The sequence below is a fragment of the Homo sapiens genome, chromosome 3 (genome assembly GCF_000001405.40).
Source record: "Homo sapiens chromosome 3, GRCh38.p14 Primary Assembly".
Lineage (NCBI taxonomy): Eukaryota > Metazoa > Chordata > Mammalia > Primates > Hominidae > Homo > Homo sapiens.
This window is the reverse complement of record NC_000003.12, coordinates 170678745-170695625: the sequence shown is the minus strand read 5'-3', so window position 1 is coordinate 170695625 and position 16881 is coordinate 170678745. Positions and strand designations below refer to the sequence as shown.

At 44.3% G+C, this 16881-nt stretch overlaps 1 long non-coding RNA gene across 1 annotated transcript in view, besides 3 other annotated features; it reads right to left on the bottom strand.

Annotated features, from left to right (window-relative positions):
* SLC7A14-AS1 (SLC7A14 antisense RNA 1) overlaps positions 1-16881 on the bottom strand; it is a 287921-nt gene that overhangs the window by 59580 nt on the left and 211460 nt on the right. The window lies entirely within an intron of this gene.
* Positions 5990-6562: an enhancer, noted in NCBI's record as "OCT4-NANOG-H3K27ac hESC enhancer chr3:170406853-170407425 (GRCh37/hg19 assembly coordinates)". NCBI's record gives its function as "activates a minimal SCP1, AML or CMV promoter by ChIP-STARR-seq in naive H9 embryonic stem cells {active_cell/tissue: H9 hESC(naive)}" and the evidence as "EXISTENCE:reporter gene assay evidence [ECO:0000049][PMID:30033119]".
* Positions 6563-7135: an enhancer, noted in NCBI's record as "OCT4-NANOG-H3K27ac hESC enhancer chr3:170406280-170406852 (GRCh37/hg19 assembly coordinates)". NCBI's record gives its function as "activates a minimal SCP1, AML or CMV promoter by ChIP-STARR-seq in primed H9 embryonic stem cells {active_cell/tissue: H9 hESC(primed)}" and the evidence as "EXISTENCE:reporter gene assay evidence [ECO:0000049][PMID:30033119]".
* Positions 13259-13977: an enhancer, noted in NCBI's record as "OCT4-NANOG-H3K27ac hESC enhancer chr3:170399438-170400156 (GRCh37/hg19 assembly coordinates)". NCBI's record gives its function as "activates a minimal SCP1, AML or CMV promoter by ChIP-STARR-seq in naive H9 embryonic stem cells {active_cell/tissue: H9 hESC(naive)}" and the evidence as "EXISTENCE:reporter gene assay evidence [ECO:0000049][PMID:30033119]".

Here is a 16881-nt window from a genome sequence, read left to right as displayed (position 1 = left end):
GGGATTTTTTTTAATAAACAGCTCATATCAATTTTCTGCAAAAGCCATTCATCATCAGTTTCTGAAATCAGTAGTAAAGGAAATTTTCCAGTGCCTTTTAAAAAATCCTTTCTTTTTATACATTGAACAATGAGCCAATTGAATAAAATCAGAAATCCTTCAAAGAAACAACAGCAATTAAGATAAATGGAAGTAACAACCACAGAAGTTGTGGCACCACCCTAAAGTATTATACCAGGACAACACTCCATTGGGCACTTCAAATATTTAGTGACAGGGACCATGTTAACTCCTATCACGTTTGCACTGTACTTACTTTGGCACACACTGCCAGCCTCCTACATATTCCCATTCCTATTTAAATCACATTTCCAACATACTTCTTTATATTAGACATTCCGCTCCTGATCCACTGAAAGGCCACCTTTTAAGTGTGGGGCTTCAGCTGACCAGAGGGCTCCAGATGTGGCCTAACTAAAGCAGAGGGCAGTAGCAGGATTCATACTTCTTGTGGTCTAAATATTGCATTTGTTTTCTGAACAAACTGTTCATTAAAACAGTTGTTTATTGGCTGGGCGCAATGGCTCATGCCTGTAATCCCAGCACTTTGGGATGCTGAGGTGGGCGGATCACGAGGTCAGGAGATCAAAACCATCCTGGCTAACATGGTGAAACCCCATCTCTACTAAAAAAAAAAAATACAAAAAATTAGCTGGGCGTGGTGGCAGGCGCCTGTAGTCCCAGCTACTCAGGAGGCTGAGGCAAGAGAATGGCGTGAACTGGGAGGCAGAGCTTGCAGTGAGCTGAGATCGTGCCACTGCACTCCAGCCTGGGTGACAGAGCGAGACTCCGTGTCAAAACAAAACAAAATAGTTGTTTATTAAAACATATATATATATATATATATATATATATATATATATATATTTGAGACGGAGTCTCTGTCACCCAGGCTGGAGTGCAGTGGCACAATCTCAGCTCACTGCAACCTCCGCCTCCTGGTTTCAAGCAATTTTCCTGCCTCAGCCTCCTGAGTAGCTGGGATTACAGGTGTGCACTACCACACCTGGCTAATTTTTGTAATTTTAGTAGAGACAGGGTTTCACCATGTTGTTCAGACTGGTCTTGATCTCCTGACCTTGTGATCCACCCACCTCGGCCTCCCACAGTGCTGGGATTACAGGTGTGAGCCATCACACCCGGCCTATTAAAACATATTTTGTAAAATGCTTGGTGTAAACTGTCTATACTGCATTGAGAAAAATCTTAAAGAACAGGAGTTTCCATGGCTGGGATAAATTTGAAAAAGATATTTTTCTATCTGACAAGTTATGGCCAGAGAGAAAGGGTATAAGTGAAATGCCTTACCACTCTTAAAAATCAAGAATAACCAAAAATGGATGAAGAAATAGAAAGAACTATGGTGAAGGAATTTGAATGCAGCGTGGTATCATGAGTGAGATATGGGCAGAGATGAGCAGAAGCCAACTCAAGGCCACAAAGAGATGGAGTCCCAGAGCACCTCCTTTTCATAATATCCAGTGCGTGTGTTGGGAGTAGGAAACATGGCCTATAAGGGTAACACGATAAATATTCCCAAGTGTATTAGTCAGGGTACTCCAGACAAACAGAACCACTAAGAGACAGATAATTAGATGACAGAGACAGAGAGAGATGAGAGGGACTCATTATGCAAATTGGCTCGCACGGTTATGGAGGCCAAGAGGTCCCATGATCTGCCATCTGCAAGCTGGAGAACCAGAAAAGCTGGTGATATGATTTAGCCCAAGTCTGAAGGCCTGAGAACCAAGAGCGCTGATGCCTGAGGACAGGAGAAAACGAAGGTCCCACCTCAAACAGAGGAAATGAATTCACTCTTCCTCTGCCTTTTTATTCTGTTCAGGCCTTCAAACTATTGAATGGCACCCACTCACATTGGTGAGGGCAGAGCTTCTTTACTTAGTCCACTGATTCGAATGCTAATCTTTTCTGGAAACATCCTCAGAGATACACCCAGAAATATTGTTTTACCTGCCACCTGGACATCCCTTAAGCCAGTCAAGTAGACATATAAAATTAATCTCCACATTGACAAAATCAGCTGAAGCATTTATAAACATCATCTTCATTGACAGTTGCCAAATACCATTATGGTTTTGATGATTTTCACATGAAACATTTGATCCTAACCGATCCAGTTGTTAGTATTATTCACAAATTATTTCTGGCTTTCATTTTCTAGACATTGAACTTCACTTCCTCCTTGGAAGCTAGATTTGGCCATGTGATTAGCTACAGTTAATGTTTGTAAGTGGAAGCCTTAAAAGTTGATGTGCAATTTGCTACACTCCCTTCCCACTGCCAAATGTTGGTGAAAACGTGTCAAGATGATGCCTCTGCCAGCTTGAGTCTTCATACCCTTCTTCTGACTTGCTTTGGACATGTAGTATCATGGAGAACTAGGATTTCAAACTGGATCATTTTGAGGGTAAAAGGGACAACAGGCACAATTTGACAATGTATGTTCATCCTAGTGAAACTTGTAATGTTAAGCCACTGAGACCTGGGGGTTGTTTTTTTACCGCAGCGTAACCTAGCCTATCTTGATTGATATATAAATGCATGTATAGAAATGCTCAATAACTCATTCATAGAAGTGCAACAAATGACTCATGTTGCACTATAACTGTGTGAGGTTGGTAAGAAAATGGATTCTAACATCTAGGCCTAAGGTGAGTCAGCTACATGGACACTGACAAGTGAGTAACCTGCTGGGATCAAGAGCTCTTGGCTTCCAAGTGAAGGCTCTTTTTCAGATCTTTCCAAGGAAATGTTACCAAGGAGCTACATTCAGGACAAAAGCTGCTGACATGAGAAAAGGGTTAGTATAGCCCAGAAAGACTAGCCTCGGTCTTGTCTGTATGACCGTATATGCTTAAGAGTATGGCACCAAGTTTTTACCGTGGAGGAGCCTGAGCCAACCTACAGAATGTTTGATTTGACCAGCAGAGTATTGTAGACAAAACATGAATTTGCAGCCCTTTCAGTTGAGGAAGCACTCTCAGCTTTGCCACTGCCCTTTGTTTCTTTCTGTCATTTGATCCTGCTCTTTTCCACTTCTTCACCTCAGTTGTATTACCTGCCTGGCTTTTGAAGACATTTGAGTTTGGACCTCTGCAGGGAACCATTGTACCTGAGATGGAAAGCACAGCAGCCCGCATGGACAGAAACAGGGCACTTCACCTCTGCAGTGTTCCTTCCATAACCCCAGTCTAATCATAAGCAAAATAATCAGACAAACCCAGATTAGGAGACATCCTACAGGATACCTGGACAGCATTCCTAAAGCCTGTCAGGGTCACAAAAAACAAGGAAAGACTGAAGACTGTCATAGGCCAGAAGCAAATGGAGAGACATGGCAACTAAATGCAATGTAGTGTCCTGGATCAGATACTAGAATAGTAAGTAACAGGTCATCAATAGGAACACTGGTGAAGTCTGAAGAATGTCTGGAATTTAGATAACAGTTACGTACCAATAATGGGCTCTTAGTTTTGACAAATGTACCATGGTAATGTAAGACATTAACAATGGGAGAAACTGGGTGAGGGGTATACAGGAATTCTCTTTGCTTATATGTGTGACTTTTCTGTAAATCTAAAATTATTCCAACATAAAAAATTTAAAAATCCTTCTTTGTATAGCGATGAAAATGGAATGAGCCCATCCAGAACCCATTTCTTCCCTTCTCTCCACATTCCAGATACTTGAGATGCAGTAATTCTTTGCTCACATGTCTCCAGACCTACACAGGACTCTTCTACATCTCCATCTTCCACATGGAGACTATGCTACCATTATAAATCTGTCTAGGCCCCTGTGGTCCCCAAAAGGAGGCTGTTTACAAGCTCGTGTGGACAGGGCTTGGATAGGGAAGCCAGTGTGCCTATGTGCAGGAGGCTCCTTGTGGGGTCGGATGAAGCCAGGGGATGGGAAAAGAGGGTGAGTGGGCTGCCAGTGGGGATCCCTAGCTGTCCCAGGTCATCACATTCTGGGGAGAACTCTGAGAAGTCCAAGAAGGCTGCAGCTGAGCTTGGCCTCTCAGATCTTTACACATATTTATGAAAAGTAGGAGGACGGAACATATTAATTCATCAGTCTCTTAGCTTGATGTAAAACTTTTAGGTATCCAGACATATGGTGCGTGGGCCTCCACTGGTATCTGAGTGGGAAGACACATGGGCCAGGTGCTGTGAATCTCTCTCCGCACCTGCTAGAAGTGGTGCTCAGGGCTGTTGCCCTTCACCTTGCTTTGCAGTGTATATTTCTTAGTAGAGGTTGCAGAAGCCCAATCAAACAAGCAGAATATGGCACAGCAGCCTCAGGACAGAATTCACCCTCCCTCTACCCCACGTCGCATCCCAGGGCAGGAAATATTACCCAAGTGGGGATAAAGGATATCACGGCTTTTTGTACAAAAGGTCCACATGTCAAAATACATGTGGTTGGCTTTAAACACAAGGAGAAAGACACAAAAGGATCCTGGTTGAAGTCTTATGGGAAAAATGACCAGGACCAATGCTGAAGTTTTATCAAGGAGCAGGCATATCTTTGCTCTGCAGGAACTGGGGAAATGTGTATATGTGTGTGTTGAAGGGATGGGGACCAATCCACTCCAAGGTCAGATCTGCTCTGAAAGCCAGGCCACTGTGCCCCACGTTTTCAGAATAAGGCATCAGATCCCACCCAGGGAACAGCATCTGGGGTCACCGTGTGGCCTTCACCTTCACCTGCCTCCTCTAGACTCAGAACATGTTAGAGAGCTCCACAGTGGACACCTTTATATAAACATAAAATACAAAAATACAGAAAGCATATATTTATAAACAATAAATAAATAGGTAAACATAATAAAATTTAAATAAATACGCATAAATAGAATACACATTTTATAAAAAGGAAGCCTGCAGAAGACACACGGCTTTCCTAACACACATAACGCCCAGGCCGGCCAGGCCGGCCAGGCACTTCCAGCTGCCTCCGGCACACCGCCACTAGGGGGAGCGGGGTCCCTGCACTTCCTGTGGTGGTGGTGGTTATTCTCCAAGACATTTTAAAGGCCCCACTTCATCCTCTTTTTTATTTTTCCCACTCTCCTGCCCACAGAGCCCAGAACAAGGGGGAAATGGAAACAATGAGAGAAGACATATTTTCTCCTAACAGTAGGTTCTCACTCAAGTCTCGCCCACCCCGGGGAATTCTGACTCAGTTGGTCTAACTAGGGTATAGTCTGGGCATCAGGAGTTTTGAAGTTCCTTGCATTGTTCTGCTGCTCTAACACCCCCACACCTGGGAAGACGTTTTCTGTTTTAGGCCAACGTTTCCCAAACTGCCATGCCACTGAGACTTCATTCAGGAGAAAGACATCCTTGGGCATCCTTTCAGCAGCACTGGGCAAATCCATGCTATAAGTGTAGACACAATAATGGTGAACTTATACTTCATGCAGTGTCAATAGACACATAATACTCTCCCCCATTGCTTGCTATTAGCACCATATTTGGCACAGATAAAAATCAATATAAAAATAGCTTACTGCGAGGGCTAGAACTTAAATACCTAAACTATTTCACTATTTTAAAAAACACAACCTAAGGCAATAATTTGTTTCAAGACTTTAAAGTGCTAAGTAAATATTTTAAATTGTAAAATTATGATACGTATTCTTGATAATTACTAGGCTTTTCATTTGCACAGAGGTCCTTTGCATATGAATCTGAAGGCACCAAGTGTTTTTTTTTTTTTTTTCCAGAAAATATGTAAGGAATCTTGAAGGGTAGACTCAACTCCTTGGAATGCTCTTCACTGATCACTTGTCCTGAGGCCAAAGCAGGCAAAGCCCCAGGGGCAGCTCTAGAATGTCTGTGAGAGACTTAGTCCTAATGCTGACAGCCTGGTGGCACAGACTGCCTGCTAGGCCCATGTCTCCTGCCCCCACTGAACTGTACTTTCCCTCTTTGTTAAAAGGAAGAGAAGCAATCCAGAAAAGAATTTGAAAAAGGAAATGAACTGGAATGTCACTGGTAATAGTCTCTGCCTCTACATGGGGAACAAAGAGAGTTCATCTGATAGGTAAAAAAACAAGGGATGGGTCTGGGCAAGATGGTTCATGCCTGTAATCCGAGCACGTTGGGAGACCAAGGTGGGAAGATCACTTGAGCTCAGGAGTTGGAAACAAGCCTGGGCAACATAGCAAACCTCGTCTCTAAAAATAAAAAACTTAGCTGGGCATAGTGGTGCACTGCACACGTGTGGTCCCTGTCAGGCCTCTGAGTCCAAGCCAAGCCATCACATCCCCTGTGACTTACATGTATATGCCCAGATGGCCTGAAGTAACTGAAGAATCACAAAAGAAGTGAATATGCCCTGCCCCACCTTAACTGATGACATTCCACCACAAAAGAAGTGTAAATGGCTGGTCCTTGCCTTAACTGATGATATTCCACCACAAAAGAAGTGAAAATGGCGGGTCCTTGCCTTATGTGATGACATTACCTTGTGAAAGTCCTTTTCCTGGCTCATCCTGGCTCAAAAATCACCCCCACTGAGCACCTTGCGACCCCCACTCCTGCCCGCCAAAGAACAAATCCCCTTTGACTGTAATTTTCCTTTACCTGCCCAAATCTTATAAAACGGCCCCACCCCTATCTCCCTTCGCTGACTCTCTTTTCGGACTCAGCCTGCCTGCACCCAGATGATTGAAAGCTTTATTGCTCACACAAAGCCTGTTTCGTGGTCTCTTCACACGGACACGCATGAAATTTGGTGCCGTGACTCAGATCGGGGGGCCTCCCTTGAGAGATCAATCCCCTGTCCTCCTGCTCTTTGCTCCATGAGAAAGATTCACCTATGACCTCAGGTCCGCAGACCGACCAGCCCAAGAAACATCTCACCAATTTCAAATCTGGTAAGCAGCCTCTTTTTACTCTCTTCTCCAACCTCCCTCACTATCCCTCAACCTCTTTCTCCTTTCAATCTTGGTGCCACACTTCAATCTCTCCCTTCTCTTAATTTCAATTCCTTTCATTTTCTGGTAGAGACAAAGGAGACACATTTTATCCTTGGACCCAAAACTCCGGCGCCGGTCATGGACTAGGGAAGGCAGCCTTCTCTTGGTGTTTAATCATTGCAGGGATGCCTCTCTAGTTATTCACTCAGGTTTCAGAGGTGTCAGACCACACAGGGATGCCTGCCTTGGTCTTTCACTCTTAGCGGCAAGTCCTGCTTTTCTGGGGGAGGGGCAAGTACCCCAACCCCTTCTCTCCATGTCTCTACCCCTTCTCTGCCTTTCTGGGGGGCAAGAAACCCCTGACCCCTTCTCCTTCACTCTTAGTGGCAAGTCCTGCTTTTCTAGGGGAGGGGGAAGTACCCCAACCCCTTCTCTGTGTCTCTACCCCTTCTCCTCCTTTCTGGGGGGCAAGAAACCCCCAACCCCTTCTCCTTCACCCTTAGTGGCAAGTTCTGCTTTTCTGGGAGAGTGGCAAGTACCCCAACCTCATATCTCTGCACCCCAATCCCTTATTTCCATGCCCCGACTACTTATATCTCTGCACCCTGATCCCTTATTTCCATGCCCCAACCTCTTATATCTCTGCACCCCTATCCTTTATTTCCATGCCCTGACCTCGTATCTCTGTGCCCTGACCCCTTTCCTGCTTTTCTGGAGGGTAAGAACCCCCGAATCCCTTCCCTCCATGTCTCTACTCTCCCTTCTCTCTGGACTTGCTTCCTTCACTATGGGCAACCTTCCACCTTCCATTCCTCCTTCTTCTCCCTTAGCCTGTGTTCTCAAAAACTTAAAAGCTCTTCAACTCACACCTGACCTAAAACCTAAATGCCTTATTTTCTTCTGCAATGCCACTTGACCCCAATACAAACTCGACAGTAGTTCCAAATAGCCAGAAAACGGCACTTTCAATTTTTCCATCCTGCAAGATCTAAATAATTCTTGTCATAAAATAGGCAAACGGTCTGAGGTGCCTGACGACCAGACATTCTTTTACACATTGGTCCCTTCCTAGTCTCTGTGCCCGTGCAACTCGTCCCAAATCTTCCTTTTTTCCCTCCCGCCTGTCCCCTCAATCCCAACCCCAAGCTTCACTGAGTCTTTCTAATCTTCCTTTTCTACAGACCCATCTGACCTTTCCCCTCCTCCCCAGGCTGCTCCTCGCCAGGCCGAGCTAGGTCCCAATTCTTCCTCAACCTCCGCTCCTCCACCCTATAATCTTTTTATCACCTCCCCTCCTCACACCTGGTCCGGTTTACAGTTTCATTCCGTGAGTAGCCCTCCCCCACCTGCCCAGCAATTTCCTCTTAAAAAGGTGGCTGAAGCTAAAGGCATAGTCAAGGTTAATGCTCCTTTTTCCTTATCAGACCTCTCCCAAATCGTGAGCATTTAGGCTCTTTCATCAAATATGAAAAACCCAGCCCAGTTCATGGCTCATTCGGCAGCATCCCTGAGACGCTTTACAGCCCTAAACCCTAAAATGTCAAAAGGCCGTCTTATTCTCAATATACATTTTATTACCCAATCTGCTCCTAACATTAAATAAAACTCGAAAAATTAAATTCCAGCCCTGAAACCCCACAACACGACTTAATTAACCTCACCTTCAAGGTGTACAATAATAGAGGCATCCAAGTAGCAACATATTTCTGAGTTGCAATTCCTTGCCTCCACTGTGAGACAAACCCCAGCCACATCTCCAGCACACAAGAACTCCAAACGCCTGAACCGCAGTGGCCAGGGGTTCCTCCAGAACCTCCTCCCCCAGGAGCTTGCTACAAGTGCTGGAAATCTGGCCACTGGGCTAAGGAATGCCCAGAGCCCAGGATTCCTCCTAAGCCATGTCCCATCTGTGCAGGACCCCACTGAAAATCAGACTGTTCAGCTCACCTGGCAGCCACTCCCAGAGCCTCTGGAACTCTGGCCCAAGGCTCTTTGACTAACTGCTTCCCAGATCTCAGCTTAGCAGCTGAAGACTGACACTGCCAGATCGCCTGAAGCCTACAAGACCATTACAGACACTCTGGGTAACTCTCACAGTGGAAAGTAAGTCCGTCCCCTTCTTAATCAATACGGAGGCTACCCACCCCACATTACCTTATTTTCAAAGGCCTGTTTCCCTTGCTTCCATAACTGCTGTAGGTATTGACGGCCAGGCTTTTAAACCTGTTAAAACTCCCCAACTCTGGTGCCAACTTAGACAATATTCTTTTAAGCACTCCTTTTTAGTTATCCCCACCTGCCCAGTTCCCTTATTAGGCTAAGACATTTTAACTAAATTATCTGCTTCCCTGACTGTTCCCAGACTACAGCCACACGTCATTGCTGCCCTTTTCCCCAGTTCAAGGCCTCCTTTGCATCCTCCTCTCATATCACCCCATCTTAACCCACAAGTATAAGATACCTCTACTCCCTCCTTGGCGACCGATCATGCACCCCTTACCATCTCATTAAAACCTAATCACCCTTACCCCCCTCAATGCCAATATCCCATCCCACAGCACGCTTTAAAAAGATTAAAGCCTGTTATCACTTGCCTGATACAGCATGGCCTTTTAAAGCCTATAAACTCCCCTTACAATTCCCCCATTTCACCTGTCCTAAAACCAGCCAAGGCTTACAGGTTAGTTCAGAATCTGTGCCTTATCAATCAAATTGTTTTGCCTATCCACCCCGTGGTGCCAAACCCATATACTCTCCTATCCTCAGTACCTCCCTCTGCAACCCATTATTCTGTTCTGGATCTCAAACATGCTTTCTTTACTATTCCTTTGCACCCTTCATCCCAGCCTCTCTTCGCTTTCACTTAGACTGACCCTGACACCCATTAGGCTCAGCAAATTACCTGGGCTGTACTGCCGCAAGGCTTCACAGATAGCCCCCATTACTTCAGCCAAGCCCAAATTTCATCCTCATCTGTTACCTATCTCGGCATAATTCTCATAAAAACACATGCTCTCCCTGCTGATTGTGTCCGATTAATCTCCCAAACCTCAATCCCTTACAAAACAACAACTCCTTTCCTTCCTAGGCATGGTTAGTGTGGTCAGAATTCTTACACAAGAGCCAGGTACGCACCCTGTAGCCTTTCTGTCCAAACAACTTGACCTTACTGTTTTAGCCTAGCCCTCACGTATGTGTGCAGCAGCTGCCGCTGCTTTAATACTTTTAGAGGCCCTAAAAATCACAAACTATGCTCAACTCACTCTCTACATTTCTCAAAACTTCCAAAATCTATTTTCTTCCTCATAGCTGATGCATATACTTTCTGCTCCCCGGCTCCTTCAGCTGTACTCACTCTTTGTTAAGTCCCACAGTTATCATTGTTCCTGGCCTGGACTTCAATCTGGCCTCCCACATTATTCCTGATACCACACCTGACCCCCATGATTGTATCTCTCTGATCCACCTGACATTCACCCCATTTCCCCATATTTCCTTCTTTCCTGTTCCTCACCCTGATCACGCTTGATTTATTGATGGCAGTTCCACCAGACCCAATCGCCACACTCCAGCAAAGGCAGGCTATGCTATAGTACAAGCCACTAGCCTGCCTCTCAGAACCTCTCATTTCCTTTCCATCATGGAAATCTATCCTCAAGGAAACAACTTCTCAGTGTTCCATCTGCTATTCTACTACTCCTCAGGGATTATTCAGGCCCCCTGCCTTCCCTACACATCAAGCTTGAGAATTTGCCCCCACCCAGGACTGGCAAATTAGCTTTACTCAACATGCCCTGAGTCAGATAACTAAAATACCTCTTAGTCTAGGTAGACACTTTCACTGGATAGGTACAGGCCTTTCCTACAGGGTCTGAGAAGGCCACCGCAGTCATTTCTTCCCTTCTGTCAGACATAATTCCTCAGTTTAGCCTTCCCACCTCTATACAGTCTGATAACGGACCAGCCTTTATTAGTCAAATCAGCCAAGCATTTTTTCAGGCTCTCAGTATTCAGTGAAACCTTTATATCCCTTATGGTCCTCCGTCTTCAAGAAAAGTAGAATGGACTAAAGGTCTTTTAAAAACACACCTCACCAAGCTCAGCCGCCAACTTAAAAAGGACTGGACAATACTTTTACCACTTTCCCTTCTCAGAATTCAGGCCTGTCCTCAGAATGCTACAAGGTACAGCCCATTTAAGCTCCCGTATAGACGCTCCTTTTTATTAGGCCCCAGTCTCATTCCAGACACCAGACCAACTTAGACTGCGCCCCAAAAAAACTTGTCATCCCTACTTTCTTCTATCTAGTCACACTCCTATTCACCATTCTCAACTACTCATACATGCCCTGCTCTTGTTTACACTGCCAGTTTACACTGTTTCTCCAAGCCATCACAGCTGATATCTCTTGGTGTTATCCCCAAACCACCACTCTTAATTCCCTCTTAGAGTGGATAGATGATCTTTGCCGGCAGGGCACCCTCCAATATTTCCACCCTGATGAATTTCTATTCTTTACTTTTATACTCACTCTTATTCTCATTCCCATTCTTATGCCACCCTCTACCTCTCCCCAGCTATCTCCACCACACTATCAACCTTACCCATTCTCTCCTAGCCACAACTGCTGGCGAACAGCAGTTGGCTTTGCATTTCCCTTTCTTCCAGTGCCTACATAGCTGTCCCCGCCTTACAGACAGACTGGGCAACATCTCCTGTCTCCTTACACCTCTGAACTTCCTTTAACAGCCCTCACCTTTACCCTCCTGAAGAACTCATTTACTTTCTAGACAGGTCCAGCAAGACCTCCCCAGACATTTCACATCAGCAAGCTGCCGCCCTCCTCCGCACTTATTTAAAAAACCTTTCTCCTTATATTACTCTACTCTCCCCATATTTGGACCTTTCACAACACAAACTAGTATTCCTGTGGCCGCTCCTTTATGTATCTCTCAGCAAAGACCCACTGGAATTCCCCTGGGTAACCTTTCACCTTCTCGATGTTCCTTTACTCTTCATCTCTGAAGCCCAACTACACACATCACTGAAACAATTGGAGCCTTTCAGCTCCATATTACAGACAAGCCCTCTATCAATACTGACAAACTTAAAAATGTTAGCAGTAATTATTGCTTAGGAAGACACTTACCCTGTATTTCACTCCATCCTTGCCTATCTTCCCCTTGCTCGTCAGACTCTCCTCCCAGGCCCTCTTCTTGTTTACTTATACCCAGCCCCGAAAAAAACAGTGAAAGGTTGCTCGTAGATACTCAACGTTTTCTCATACACCATGAAAATCGAACCTCCTCCTCTATGCAGTGACCCCATCAGTCCCCATTACAATCTCTGACAGCTGCTGCCCTAGCTGGATCCCTAGGAGTCTGGGTACAAGACACCCCTTTCAGCCCTCCTTCTCACCTTTTTAGTTTACATCTCCAGTTTTGCCTCACACAAGGTCTCTTCTTCCTCTGTGGATCCTCTACCTACATGTGTCTACCTGCTAATTGGACAGGCACATGCACACTAGTTTTCCTTACCCCCAAAATTCAATTTGCAAATGGGACCGAAGAGCTCCCTGTTCCCCTCATGACACCGACATGACAAAAAAGAGTTATTCCACTAGTTCCCTTGATGGTCAGTTTAGGACTTTCTGCCTCCACTATTGTTCTCGGTACTGGAATAGCAGGCATTTCAACCTCTGTCACGACCTTCCGTAGCCTGTCTAATGACTTCTCTGCTAGCATTACAGACATATCACAAACTTTATCAGTCCTCCAGGCCCAATTTGACTCTTTAGCTGCAATTGTCCTCCAAAACCGCTGAGGCCTTGACTTACTCACTGCTGAGAAAGGAGGACTCCGTATTTTCTTAAATGAAGAGTGTTGTTTTTACCTAAATCAATCTGGCCTGGTGTATGACAACATAAAAAAATTCAAGGATAGAGCCCAAAAACTTGCCAACCAAGCAAGTAATTACGCTGAACCCCCTTGGGCACTCTCTAATTGGATGTCCTGGGTCCTCCCAATTCTTACTCCTTTAATACTCATTTTTCTCCTTTTATTCGGACCTTGTATCTTCCGTTTAGTTTCTCAATTCATTCAAAACCGTATCCAGGCCATCACCAATCATCCTATACGACAAATGTTTCTTCTAACAACCCCACAATATCACCCCTTACCACAAGATCTCCCTTCAGCTTAATTTCTCCCACTCTAGTTCCCACGTCACCCCTAATCCTGCCTGAAGCAGCCCTGAGAAACATCGTCCATTCTCTCTCTCCATACCACCCCCCAAAAATTTTCACTGCCCCAACACTTCAACACTGTTTTATTTTTCTTATTAATATAAGAAGGCAGGAATGTCAGGCCTCTGAGCCCAAGCCAAGCCATCACATCCCCTGTGACTTGCACGTATATGCCCAGATGGCCTGAAGTAACTGAAGAATCACAAAAGAAGTGAATATGCCCTGCCCCACCTTAACTGATGACATTCCACCACAAAAGAAGTGTAAATGGCCGGTCCTTGCCTTAACTGATGATATTCCACCACAAAAGAAGTGAAAATGTCCAGTCTTTGCCTTAAGTGATGACATAACCTTGTGAAAGTCCTTTTCCTGGCTCATCCTGGCTCAAAAAGCACCCCCACTGAGCACCTTGCGACCCCCACTTCTGCCCGCCAGAGAACAAATCCCCTTTGACTGTAATTTTCCTTTACCTGCCCTAATCTTATAAAACGGCCCCACCCCTATCTCCCTTCGCTGACTCTCTTTTTGGACTCAGCCTGCCTGCACTCAGGTGATTAAAAGCTTTATTGCTCTCACAAAGCCTGTTTGGTGGTCTCTTCACATGGATGCACATGAAAGTCCCAGCTACTCAGGAGGCTGAAGTGGGAGGATTGCCTGAACCTGGGAGGTTGAGGCTGCAATGAGCTATGATCGTGCCACTGCACTCCAGCCTGGGTGACAGAGTGAGACCCCATTTCAAAAAAAAAAGGAGGGGAGGTGGCATGGTTTGATGACAAGGAAGAGATTAAGAGTCATTGCAATAATAATATAAGACCATCCAATAGGCTGTTTTTCAATTTATAATGGCATTTGTTCTTTAGCGATTGAAAAACAAAGTCATTTTCCACTTCACTGGTGATAAGTCAATATTTTTATTACAAAGAATGACTGCTTTCTTCTTTTTCCTTTTGCCTAAATGAAATTCTTAATTGATTGGCATTTAACTATGTAAAGCATTCAAACAGAAGTGTTAGGAAGACATCTCTCACTCAGCTCAGAACAATATATTCTTAAGAATGTATTGCCTCAATGTGGAAGCCATTCTATAGCGTGGGCACTTTGCCGCTGCTGTCAGATCCTGCCAGGTACCTGTTACAGACGGCCAAAGGAGAGTCCTCAGAAACCTCTGACGTAGACAAGAGATGATCAGTGTCAAACACTCTAAATAAATCCTCAAAACAACTCTGGAATTTGTCCAAAAACAAAATCCCAGCAAGTTTAGTTTAAAGGTATAATTGGCGGGAACATATTGTAAGGACAGAAGTATAAAAATGAATTACTAATCATTCAAAAAGAAAAAAAATTTAAGGCATAGTTGGCTTTTTTAGTCATTCATTAATCAGAAACAGCTTATCTCAGATTTAGAAAGGTGCTCCAGTGAGCTGGGCAGAAGAGGTGGGCTTCATAGGCAGAAAAGACTGATGAAAGCTAAAATGAGGAACAAAAAGCAAACTGGTCATTACAAAGCTGTTTTCCTTATAGAATTAAAACAGTGGGGACCTCCTTATCATGCTGGCTCAGACAGACTGGGCCCCTTTTGATTGGCTGATGTGAATCTCCTGTTTTTTGGAAAACTGGCTCATTTTAAACTTTAGTTTGACTATGTAGCACCTAGCACAAGTGACTGCACTCTGGTTTTGTCTTGTTTGTTGGGGCCTGAAGGAGGAGTTACTCCAAAACAATGGCCTCCCATAAATATAACAAAGTTATAACTATTTCCATTTCACAGATTGACATATCAGGTCAGTAAATAAAGGCAGAGAGAAAAACAAAGTCCAATAAATAACATGCCTATCATAGGGAAATAGATGGGTTAGGTTTTCAGTAGAGCTTTAATAAATCTATGTTAGTTTGAATTATAACATCTATGGAGGGCAGTTTGGCACTACCTATCAAAACATAACTGTGCTTACCCCATAACACAACAGTTCCACATACTGGGATTTAGCCCACAGATACATGCATACCTACAAGAAGTGCACGTGTATCATATCCATTTTAGCAGTGTTGAAATAGCAAATCTTGGAAGTCTACTATGAATGAGTGCCAATAATAGACTGGTTAAATCACTTTATGGCACATCCATCAATAGAATATTGTGCAGCCATTAAAAATGAGGCCGCTTTTTCTGATGTAGAAAGATCTTTAAGGTATGTTAAATGAAAAAAGAAGATATGGAACAGTGTGAATGTTTGTATAAAGAGTAAGCATTTATGAATTTACATGTATTTTTATATTCACATATATTATATATTTATAGGCTATCTTCAGAAGGATGCATAAGAACCTAGTAAGATAGCCTGCCTCCTGTGAGGGAAGCTGAGTGACTTTGGTGACTAGAGGGAAAGAAACTTTTCACTTTGTACCTTTTGAATTTTGTACCATGTCCAGGTACTATTTAGGAAAACAATTGTTTTTAACAATTTAAAAGAGGTCTATAATCCTCTGCTGAGGCCCAAGGAGGTAAACCACAAGCCCAAGGTCACAAAAGGTGGGAAGAAACGAAACCAGGGATTAGCACTGGATTCGTCTGATTCCCACATCCACACACTTTCCTCAGCACCACGCTGCTGTTCGTCCAATTCTCCTCTGCATCACAGCTAATGATGAGATCCTAAGGCTGAAATAGAGCTCTCACCATCTAAAGGGGCCCATTTCCCACCTTCAGCAGGAATATTTTGAACTTAACCTGAAAGAGACCTGCCTCTTACTAAAAGAAATCCAGGAAGGAGATTACCTTAGTTTTCCTGTTTCAGTATCTTACGAATAATTTTATTTAGCAAAGCTTCTTTTCAACATTTGGTAGCAAACCAAGCTCCTGAATAATTTACAAAATAAAAATTTCATAAACCTATACTGTGGCTTCAAGTTAGCACCTTGAAATACTGATTCATTCATTTCAAGAGCGTTTATTGGGCTTGGAGGCCTGTTGGGAGATGAGTTGAGCATGCAGGAATCTACGATATGAGGAAGAATGTGATGCCAACTATAAGCAAGACAGGCAGGAGGCTCCTTCAGAGCCCAGGTCACATGCCACAGGTCCATAGGGCCCAGCCAGTGCCATGAGTGAGCAGCAGGGCCCCTGGGGGCATGGAAAGCTCAAGCCCTGTCTCAAGGGGCAACCACTGCTCCCCTCTCCTCTATCAATGCCTTATGGGAATGAGGGATCCATGTTGTTTATCTTCCTATTTCATGTGGAATCTCTTAACTTTTATGTAGTGGCTTATAAATTTTAAAAGCCACCAGGCATCTCAGATAAAATGTGTCTGTGGGTAAGTTTGAAAGTCTTGCTGTAGTGTTTTCATGCACTTCCTAGAATTCCCCCATGGACAAAGAGGCAGTTCAATGTTTGGGCCAAAATCAAAAGCCCTTTTCTCAGTCTGGGTGTAGAGAAAACTCCCAGTGTGGTAGCCTTGTTCTCTTGGCCCTGATTTCCCCTTACCCTGTCACCATTTCCTTAGACTGTCCTTGCAGACAAATCTTCAACTCTGAATTTCCAGAGCAAATTTTCCCAAAGGGTTTTCTGCAGCCCACCTCTCACAGACATGTCTTATCTTTAAGAGCTGCTCATGGGGTAACTATTCCTGTA